General features: G+C 40.4%; 1 annotated feature.

The window, feature by feature from the left end:
- Positions 6,938 to 6,997: an enhancer, noted in NCBI's record as "active region_6632". NCBI's record gives its function as "activates an Ori minimal core promoter by ATAC-STARR-seq in GM12878 lymphoblastoid cells {active_cell/tissue: GM12878}" and the evidence as "EXISTENCE:reporter gene assay evidence [ECO:0000049][PMID:35858748]".

Here is an 11,926-nt window from a genome sequence, read left to right as displayed (position 1 = left end):
GTGGCTTGTCTTTTCATTTTGTTAAAAATCTCTTTTTATTTTTATTTTTTATCTTTTTTTATTTTTTGAGACGGAGTCTCTCTCTGTTGCCCAGGCTGGAGTGCAGTGGCGCGATCTCCGCTCACTGCAAACTCCGCCTCCCACGTTCATGCCATTCTCCTGCCTCAGCCTCCCGAGTAGCTGGGACTACAGGCGCCCGCCACCACGCCTGGTAGAGATGGGGTTTCACTGTGCCAGCCAGGATGGTCTTTATCTCCTGACCTCAGCCGCCCACCTCGGCCTCCCAAAAAATCTCATATTTTTTTTCATTAATCATTTATAATAAATTGCATCTGTTATGTGCTAGGCTCTGTGCTAAATGTTGGGATTACAAAGATGAGTAAAACAAAATTTCTTGTCCTGGAAAACTTCCTAGCTTAAAGCATATAAACAAAATTATAAGATAATATGATCAGTACAGTGACAGAGCTATATATAATATATTAAGGGAACACAGGGGATGAGAACTGCATTCAACCTGAGTGAATCATCAAAAGCTTCCTGAGGCTGGGCGCGGTGGCTCACGCCTGTAATCCCAGCACGTTGGGAGGCGAGGCAGGCGGATCACTTGAGGTCAGGAGTTCAAGAACAGTCTGGCCAATATGGTGAAACCCCATCTCTACTAAAAATACAAAAATTAGCCCTATGTGATGGTGCATGCCTGTAATCCCAGCTACTCAGGAGGCTAAGGCAGGAGAATTGCTTGAACCCGAGAGGCAGAGATTGCAGTGAGCCAAGATTGTGCCATTGCACACCACTGCACTCCAGCCTGGGCGACAGAGCAAGACTCCATCTTAAAAAAAAAAAAAGCCTCCTGGAACAAGTGATGTCCAACCTGAGTCTTAAAAAGTAGAAGTTATCAGGTCCATCAGCTGACAGTGGGTTCAGCAAGAGCTTGGTGCTGAAATCCAGATGGCAATGCTGGAGTTTAAAATGGGAGTCAGAGAATGCTGACATGAGGATGGGTGGGTAGGCAGAAGCACAGGGATGGTCTCCTGCAACAAGTTAAATAACTTTCAGATATGAGTGACTCTTATTTGAGGGAAGGCCTTCCCTAATCAGATTTTCCTTTTGGAAAGAATCCCTGAAAAAATGATGCTCAGGGGGCTATAAGCAGAGATCAAGAGCTAGTTAGGCAGCTATCAGGGTTCAGGAAAGATAATAAGGCTGTTTCCAAGGACGGACAGAAAGCTAAAAATATTAGACAGATTAGGAGATAAAATTGGCAGAACTGAGGAGACTGAGCTGATGTGGGAGAGGTTTCCTCTCAGGGTACTGGATAGAGTTGATGTCACCACCATGGAGAGAAAACACAAGAGGAGGATGCTTAGGGTGGCTAGATTATGTTTAGGGTGACTAAGACAGCTGCTTTGAGAGCCACCTCACACCTGGCAGCCTTGTTTGTTGGCTTTTTCAGGTGTAACAGTCAAGGTTTGACCAGGAAAACAGAAGCTGCTTTAGGTATTTTATTCCACTTGCAAGGTTGCGTGAGGTTTTAATGTAGGGATTTAGAGCTCAAGAGCTTGATTCAACCATTGTAGGGAGCTGTGGTCAGGCAAGCCACCACCAACAGTGTCAGTCTACAGCACTGAGCTGTGTGCAGGGCTCCTATGCACCCTGTCAGTCTGTAGCACTGAGGTGGAAAATTATCAAAAGCTTGCCAGGAAGCTGTTTTGAACCTCACATCTGTTCATGCTCCCGCCTCTAGAGAATAATGATCTCACTTTCTAAATCTCTTGCAATTGCCTAACTCTAACCAGGAAATATACAAGGAAGAAGATTCTGGGAAATGTAGTTTCTGGTTTCACACATCACAGGGAAGATCTTAAAATGGCTTGTGGGTTCTTTAAGGCTGAGATAAATCAATCAGCTCCTACTGGAAATTCTAATTTATGATTCAGATAGTTGAAACCATAGGACAAGTAAAAACTCCAGAGCTGTGAGAGGAGAAGCAGAGGAAGATGCAGGAGGAGAAAGAATGAGGCAAATGTGCACAGAAAGTGGAGATGATCAACTATGTAGCACACAACCAGAGAGAGATAGGGAAAGGTCTTGAACCATGGCTGAACTTCCTGCTCTGGATTCTCTGAGCAAAACCTGGGTTCTTAAATAATTTTTTTTCTTAAGATAGCTTAAGCTGATTTGTAATTCTTCTAAACAAAGGAGTCTTAAGCAAGATAACACCTGCTCTAGGCCGTCTACACCGCAGTGGGCTGGGTGGATCAGAGGTTCTGGAGAGAGGTCTGTCCTAGAGGTAGAGATGGACAGGCTGTCAGCATACAGAAGTAGTAAAACTGTGAGAATGGGCCGGGTGCGGTGGCTCACGCCTGTAATCCCAGCACTTTGGGAGGCCAAGGTGGGCGGATCACGAGGTCAGGAGATCGAGACCATCCCGGCTAACACGGTGAAACCCCGTCTCCACTAAAAATACAAAAAATTAGCCGGGCGCGGTGGCGGGCGCCTGTAGTCCCAGCTACTCGGGAGGCTGAGGCAGGAAAATGGCATGAACCCGGGAGGCGGAGCTTGCAGTGAGCCGAGATCGCGCCACTGCACTCCAGCCTGGGCGACAGAGTGAGACTCCGTCTCAAAAACAAACAAACAAAAAAAAAAAAAACCAAAAAACAAAACTCTGAGAATGGAGAAACTTGGACAATTTTTTACTTTACTGAAAGATGCATGATAATGTGGATATTAAAGTAGTTACAAATGGAACTTTACAATATGTTAGGGCTGATGAGAAAAAAAAGACAATTAGTGTTCGACAAACAAATAAAACTGGAGTGTGAAATGAAGTTGGAAGGATAAGATGGACAAATATATAGACAATTATGTCTTATTTGATAACGGTTATAGAAGGGTATATTTACCTTCAGGAGTGCTTTTCAACTCTTTGAGTTTTGGCATGTTAGTTGGGTATCAATGAAAAAACTCTAATTTTGAGCTTCTTTTTCAGTATGACTAATAATAAGCTCAGTTTTTGTTTGTTTGACTCTGAGAATTGCTATACATTTTTATTTACTGGGTTATATTAAATTTTAGCAGGTGCATTTAAATGATAATAAAGCTTTCATCAAAGCAATATTTTCATTTTATTTTTATTTTAGGACAAAGTTACATTCCTATCTTTAAAAACAGAAATTTCAAAGCTCTAATGACATGCTTCATTTGTACATGAATGATGACATATGATCCTGATGGAGTGTGTCTAAATTTTAAATAACCACTTTTTGTGAGGTAATTTGTAAATTACAACTATGTGATGGGCCCTGTTATTTGTCCATCCAGTACCTTTCCTTCCTCTATAGAAGCTGGCTTATATGGTACACATGATTTGTGAGGGGGCGTGTTGCCATATTTTTTCTGACTCTTTGGGTGGGAATTCATTTGAACTGTTGGAGCCCCACAGTTGGATTTTCCTGGATGAGTACAGAAGCCTCCTAAATTGGCCTCTCAGTTTCTGCCCTTGTCCCATTAGAGCCAAATTTCCATTTGCTGACCACAGTGATCCCATTAAAATATATCTCAGATCATGTCACTCTCTTGTTCAAAACCCAGTAGAGAGTACCCCATTTCCTCTAGAATAAAACCCAAAATGCTTTCTGGGGGCATGATCTGGCCCCTGGTTATCTTTCCAACCCCACTGCCTGCTCCTCAGGTCCAGACACATGACCCCTGCTATGACTCAGCCCTCGCTGAAGGGGCGTCTGTCTTGACTTTTTCCATTTGGCTCTTCTCTGCCTGGGACATGGTTCCCAGTCGTGTCCATGACTCCCTCACCACCTTCAGTCAGGTCTCTGCTCAAATGTTCTTTCCTCAGAAAAGTCTTCCCCAACCCCCCTATCTAAAATAGCACTATTCCATTCTCCTGCTTTCCTTTTTCAAATCATAATCACAACCTGACATTGTATTACACAATTACATGTTTGTTTATGTTAATCTTCTCCACTACAATGTAAGGCCCATGGGGACAGGAGTTTTGTCCCTTTTTTGTTAGTTCTTGCTGTTTCTTCAGTGCCTAGAAGAATGTCTTGCACATCAACAAGTATTTTTTAATAGGCTTTATTTTTTTTGAGCACTTTTAGGTTCACAGCAAAATTAAAAGGAGGGTACAGAGATTTTCCGTATGCCCTCTGTCCCCTACACATATACAGCCTCTCCCCATAATCAACATCTCCCATGAGAGAGGTACGCTCGTTACCACTGATGAACCTACAATGGCATCATCATCATCCAAAGTCCATGGTTTGCACTCTCAGTGTTGAAACTTCTATGGGTTTGAACAAAGGCAGAATGTGTATCTCTCATTCTGAGTCCCACACAAAGTGTTTGCATGTCCTAAGAATGCTCTGTGTTCACCTTTTCATTCCTCTTGCCAACCTCTGGCAATCACTGATCTTTCTTTTTCAGACTGTCATATGGTTGAATCATGCAGTGTGTAGTCTCTTCAGACTGGTTTCTCTCACTTAGTGATATGTATTGAAGGTTCCTCCATGTCTTTTTATTGCTTGACAGCTCACTTCTTTTTAGGCTGAATAACATTCCACTGTATGGATACACCACAGTTATGAAACCATTCATCTGCTGAAGGATATCATGGTTACTTCCAAGTTTTTGTAACTATGAATAAAACTACTATAAACATCTGTGTGCAGATTTTTGTGTGGACATAAGACTTCAACTCCTTTGGGTAAATACAAAGGAATGTTGTGATTGGTGGCTGGTATAGTGAGAGTAAGGTTAGTTTTATAAGAAACTGCAAAACTGTCTTCCAAAGTGGCTGTACCTTCAGTCAGAGTTCCTGATGCTCCACGTCTCAGCCAGCATTTGGTGTTGTCAGTGTTCCAGATTTTTGCCATTTCATAATGGGTGTGTGGGTATCTTGTTGTTTTAATTTGCATTTCCCTGATGATATAAATATGTAGCTCAGCAAGTATTTGATGAATTAGTGCAGTGTTTCAATTAAATGCCTTAATGGCTAACTTACCTTCCAGCTGGTGAATGCTGCTCTGTGGGAGGCAGGATTGACATTGTCTCACAAAGAGAAGCAGAAGTGACAGCTAGAGAGACAAATCCTGTCAACACTTGAGTACCTGTCTCTGAGATCCTTTCTTTGATCAAAATAGTGTGACTGGAATTTTCGTCACTTGTCACCACAAAAGTCCTGGCAAATGCAACTTGTTGGTATACTGACACTAATGCCGAAAAATAAAGGATGTAATAAAAACTGAAAAAAAATATGAGGGAATAATTAATAACTTCTCATAGCAGATACTACCTGCCTTGCCAACATCCTCTCAGCAGCCTCCCTCTCTCTTCTTACCCTCTGCCTGTGACTGTAACAGTTCACTATTCTTGGCCTAAGGGCTTCTTTCTATTTTCACATGAGGAAGACTGGAAGAGCTAGGGGTTTAATGCCCTGGGAGCAGTGCTCAGACAGTGCTAAAGATAGTCGCAGGATAGATACCCCAACTTCTTCGTCCCTTGGGCAGGATAACTTTGGGGTATGGGCTACACCATCACCCAGAGGTCTATAGTGGGCTGAGTCTCAGTTGACTACAGTAGCTCCCTTTGGGAACCACCCTGAACTGACTTCCTTCCCTTCCCTGAATCTCTTTGCCTCTTTTCTACTGGTGCTTCCTAGAATCACCACCAAAAAAAAAAAAAAAAAAAAAAAATCCTTGTCTCAAGCTCTGTTTCTGAGGTAACCCAACCTCAGTTTCTATATGTAAAATATTTCAATTTAACCTGAACAAATACGTTAAACATGAAGAAATGTACAAATACAACTTCTAAATCAGGTTACAAGGGAAAAAAACCCATAAAATGGAAATAAAAATGATGAGCACACATTGTGCTTGCTATATGCCAAGTATTATTCCAAGAGCTGCACATATAACTCATTTGAATCCCACAAAAAACCTGTGAAGTAGAGTCCAGAGACTTTAAGGAGCTTGCCTAGATTCACACAGTTTACACAGCTGGTAAAAGATGGAGCCTGGACTCAAACTCAGTCTTGCTCCTTTGTCTGTGCTGTTTGTTAACCATGATACTATCATAGAGATGTTTTAAAAAGGTGATTTATTAGTAATGACATGATATCATGAAAGTATTATGCCCAGTTATGTTGTTTATATGAATAGTGCAGAAAACGAATAACATTTGTTGTCATTATAATCTCAAAGAAGACAGGATCCTCATATAAACAGGAGCAGTTATGAGATAAACACATTTTTAAAAAATCCCTTTAAATGGATGTCAGTTCATGAAAGTGATTTGTCATTAATGTCCAACAGTGAATGACTATGAACAGCAGCTTTTGAGATTGGCAGTAACACAGCTTTTAGGAAAACAGAGGGCAGGCATAGTTTAAAGCTAACATCAGCATGTGTAATGAGGTATCATCCTATTCCCTATGTGGCTTGGGCACTAACTTGCAGCTGAAGAATAGAGATCTGTTTGGGCTTGCAGCCCTGGCTAAATGGCCCTGCTGGTTCCACCCCCCAGGTCTGATGGTCAAGAATTATTGGATACTTCATGTAAAGCACTCAGCCAGGCACTTTGAGATAGATGAAGAAGACTAAGAGGCAGTGTATACTCTCTAGGACCTTAAAACCTAGTGAGGAAGAAAAGCACATGAGGATAACTTGGACTTTTTTTCTTCTATGAGAAAAACATCTGGTAAGGTTATTCAGACCACTCAGCTTCATATGGATTTATAGATGTTGGTGCAATTTTTACTCCTTGGCTTCAGCTATTGAAGCTGTGGCAGCAGGTGTGATTACCTCAGAAGAGCGAAGGTGCAAAACAAACTCTTGAGGTCTTGGGAGCTCTGCAGGTGGTTTCCTTGCAGTTCTTCAAATAAAAGGAAGTCTAAGAGCTTCCTGACTCTGTGATAGAGAATGCTACCATGCAAGGCCATCACTTGAAGCCTTTGCTCTTTGCAGAGGCAGAAGCGTCCCTGAGTGCATTGAGACGCTGGGCTGAAGAGAGGAATGACATCAGCACCAGGTGGGGGAGAAGAGCGATTTCCTTTTTTCTCAGGGTGACCCACAGGAAGGACATGGGAAGTTAGGTCAGAATTGGCTTGACACCTCTGTCCTGGGAAATCCTATCAGGTGACTAAGAAGAAAACAACCCACCAAGTTACTGCTCTTTGCCGAGAGATGGAAGGCACCTTGGGGGAAACCCCTGACCACAGGCCAATAGAACAGAATGTTGTTAGTCTTGCTGAAAAAGCCAACCAGAAAAATACTTCTTCAAATTCACCTGGGGTGACAAGAAATATTTCCCATTCTTGGGTTCTTTCACTTTCCTAATGGAAGCATAGATTGAACACTTTGTGAAATGTCATTTAGATTTTCCCTCTTGTGATTGGCTTTATTTTTCTTTTTAGGAAAAAAAAGACAGAGTGCAGGGCATACTTTTTTTGTGGTTGATAGGATTCCTAATGCAACCATAAATATGACCAGCATATAAGTCATGATCTATGATTCTAATTAGCAAATGATGTTTCTAATTTTCAAATAGGACAAGTTATATATCATTAAGTTTTGGGATGCCTAATCTTTTTTATTCCATCAATTTTTATTTTAAGTTCTGGGGTACACGCACAGGATGTACAGGTTTGTTACATAGGTAAATGTGTGCTATGCTGATTTGCTGCACAGATCAACCCATCACCTAGATATTAAGCCCAGCATCCATTTGCTATTCTTCCTGATGCTCTTCCTCACCCCACTTCCCCAACAGGCCTCAGTGCGTATTGTTCCCCCCATGTGTCCATGTGATCTCATCGTTCAGCTTCCACTTGTGAGTGAGAACATGTGGTGTTTGGTTTTCTGCTCCTGTGTTAGTTTGCTGAGGATAACAGCTTACAGTTCCATCCATGTTCTTGCAAAGGACATGATCTCATTCCTTTTTATGGCTGCATAGTATTCCATGGTGTATATTTATACCACATTTTCTTTATCCAGTCTATCATTGATGGGCATGTGGGTTGATTCCATGTCTTTGTTATTTTGAATAGTGCTACAATGAACATATGTGTGCATGTGTTTTTATAATAGAACGATTTATATTCCTTTGGGTATACACCCAATAATGGGATTGCTGGTTCAAATGGTATTTCTGTTTCTAAATCTTTGAGGAATTGCTACACTGTCTTCCACAATGGTTGAACTAATTTACATTCCCACTAACCATCTAAAAGCATTCCTTTTTCTCTGCAACCTCACCAGCATCATTTTTTCTTGACTTTTTAATAATCACCATTCTGACCGGTATGAGATGGTATCTGATTATTATTTTGATTTACGTTTCTCTAATGACCAGTAATGTTGAGCTTTTTTCATGTTTGTTGGCTGCATGCATGTCTTCTTTTGAGAAGTGTCTGTTCATATCCTTTGCCTACTTTTTAATGGGGTTGAGTTTTTTTTTAATGTAAATTTGTTTAACTTCTTTGTAGACTCTGGATATCAGACCTTTATCAGATGGCTAGATTGCAAAAATTTTCTCTCATTCTATAGGATGTCTGTTCACTCTGATGATAGTTTCTTTTGCTGTGCAGAAGCTCTTTATTTTAATTAGATCCCATTTGTCAATTTTTGCTTATGTTGCAATTGCTTTTGGTGTTTTTGTCATAAAATCTTTGTCCATGCCTATCTTCTGAATGGCATTGCCTGGATTTTCTTCTAGGGTTTTTATAGTTTTGGGTTTCACATTTAAGTCTTTTATCCATCTTGAGTTAATTTTTGTATAAGGTTTAAGGAAGGGTCCAGTTTCAATTTTCTGCATATGGCTAGCCTATTCTCCCAGCACCATTTGTTAAATAGGGAATATGTTCCCCCTTGCTTGTTCTTGTCAGATGAGATGGTTGGGGATGCCAAATCTTAATTAAAGAAACTGACACATGTTTAGAGTTGCCTGAAGTTAAAAAAAAAAAAATTCTGTGCTGCAATCTAAAAGAAGCTACCCTCTTTGAAGAAGAAAAGAGATAAGAACTTTAGCTTTCTTACTTAGCTTTATGATACCCATTGCCTTTCTAAGTTAAAAGATTAGGAAAAAACCTTTAAATGCCAGTTACCACAAATTCTTTTGGAATTAGGGAAATGATAGCTAAAATTATAGCTAAAATAATCATGCAAGCAAATAAATTAAAACAAAAAAGAAAAAAAAAACATCAGAATGCAAAAAACAAAACAAAACAAAACAAAAAACCCAAATTAAAGTTTGATAAATAGCAAATAAACAGTGGCTTTATAGGTTTTTCAAATTTAAAAAGTCTTAAGAAGGCAATCCCAACAAGGAAGTATTATAAACATGAAAGGAATAGGTTTTTGGGCAATGTAAGTCTGAGTAGGCAGTGACGGTGTTTGCTCTAAAGCCATTAAAGTAAATTTAAGAATTTACTTTTTTTTTTTTTTTTGAGACAGAGTCTCACATTATTGCCTGGGCTGGAGTGCAGTGCCGTGATCTCGGCTCACTGCAACCTCTGCCTCCTGGGTTCAAGTGAATCTCTTGCCTCATTCTCCTGAGTAGTTGGGATTACGGGTGCCTGCCACCATGTCCAGCTAATTTTTTGTACTTTTAGTAGAGACGGGGTTTCACTATGTTGGCCAGGCTGGTCTCGGACTCCTGACCTCGTGATTCGCCTGCCTTGGCCTCCCAAAGTGCTGGGATTACAGGCGTGAGCCACTGCGCCCAGCCAAGAATTTACTTTATATGTAATACATGTATATATTTTAGAGACAGAGTTGCTTAGGCTGTTGCCCAGGCTGGAGCACAATGACGTGATCACAGCTCAGTGCAGCCTTGAATTTTTGGGCTCAAGCGATCCTCCCACCTTGGTCTCTTGAGTAGTTGGGACTACAGGCACAACACACCATGACCAGCTAATTAAAAAAAATATTTTTTTGATACAAGGTCTCAATATGTTGCCTAGGTTGGTTTTGAATTCCAGGCTTCAAAAGATCTTCCTGCCTCGGCCTTCTGAGGCACTGGGATTACAGGCATGAGCCACTGTGCCCAGCCAAAAATTTATTTTAAAATATGAAATATACATTTTTCTTTTTCTTTTAAAGACAAGGTCTCTGTCATCCAAGCTGGAGTGCAGTGGTCTGACCATAGTACACTGCAGCCTTTAACTCCTGGCCTCAAGTGATCCTCCTGCCTCAGCCTCCCAAACAGCTGGGATTACAGGCCATATTTCTTATTTACATAAAAGCTGTAGTCAAGATGCGAGGTTTCAGTAGCTATATTAAAATGTAAAATGGCTTAAACCTAATAGAAGTTTACTTTTTGCTCATGTAAAGTCAAAAATAGATGTAACAGAACAGGAGCTATCTCTTCTCTAAGCAGGACCAGGATCCTTTCATCCTGTGGCTCCACCATCTTCACCATCTTCAATACTTGGACTGTGAGGTCACTGTGCATGTTCGTATCAAGTTGGTCAACAGAGAAGAAACATGGAAGATGGCCCATGGAGGATGGCACACATCACTTCCACTCACATTCCATGGGCTAGAACTCACAAATAAATTTGATGAACAGCAAGCCAGCCTCTGTTCCAAAAGTCTTCCTAGACAGAATGTACATAAGCTGATTTAGTATCTGCACAGTCTCTGCAGTGATGCCTCTCTTTGTTGCTGCTTATTAAAGTGTTAACAGGATCAAGGATTGACCCAGAAATGGAATATTAAAAAGAAAGTTATGCTATAAATTCCACTGAGGGTTTTGTCATTTCAAGAGTGCTTCTGAATGTCCCTGTTGAGGTCATTTTTTTCTCTGTTTTGCCAAAAAAAATCTGCCCTCATTTTAATGACAATCTAGTTTTTTTGTTTTGTTTTGTTCTTTTTTTTTTCTTTTTTGAATCTCATTACCTTCAATATGTTTGGTCAGGTTGGATTGGTAAATCTGGCACATGGGGTTGCCTGTACCTCATCATGAAATCCAAAGGATACCTAGAGGGTCCTTCTACCAGTTTTTTTTTACTCAGCACTGTAGGATTAATGCCAGCAGGCAGTCAACTCATCCGTGTTCATTAGACTCACTTTCTAGGGTTTGATTCTGGAGCAGAGTGGTACAAAGATAAGAACAAAAGCATTGGAATTTACCAATTTGTTCCTGCATGGTGCTCTGCAGAAGGGCTGAGTAGTTTCTGCGGCAGAGACCTTCTGGGATTGCCTGGTAGATTGTCTGTATTGAACATGGTTCCTCAGCTATGTCTTCCATCCATGAGCTCCTCCATATGCCTTCATTAAATGTTACCTTTCAGCTAAAATTAGTCAGATTTGTTTTTTCATATATGTGCACAAATAATTTTAATGATATAATATTAGGCACGTTAAGCTTTCAGGAGCAAATTAGAGAGCAGTAGCTAGGCTGGTTGCAGCTGAGTGGTTAAGAGCATCAACAGTGAACTTAGCCACACCCAGCTTTATCACTTACTAGGCCAGTGACTTTGGATAAGTTGCTTATTTTCTGAGACTCATTTTTCTCCTCTATAAAACAAAAATAAATTTGTCTTCTTTGGATGGTTGTCATAATTAAATGAGATGGTGCATATAAAGCACTGTGGCAGCTGTTAATTACTATGAGGCACCATTATTTTTGCTGATAGAAATCTTTAGCTGCACACACACTTATTCCTAAGCTCCGTTTTACTGGAGCCAAATCCAGATTTATTAAAATTTTTTTTGACTTTTGCAGTCTTTACACTAAGGTTAGGGTCTTCAGTTTAGATATTGCTTGACTAATAATGGCCTTTCCTAATTTGGGAAATTATAACATATAGGTTCTGCAAAACCTAAGACTAAAAATAACAAGGCCTATGGAGACAACTATAGTTGGGACATTCCATTCAATACTTCTCAAACTTTATACTCAGAGC

This window comes from Homo sapiens, chromosome 12, assembly GCF_000001405.40.
Source record: "Homo sapiens chromosome 12, GRCh38.p14 Primary Assembly".
Classification (NCBI taxonomy): domain Eukaryota; kingdom Metazoa; phylum Chordata; class Mammalia; order Primates; family Hominidae; genus Homo; species Homo sapiens.
This window is presented reverse-complemented; position numbering and strand designations above follow the sequence as displayed.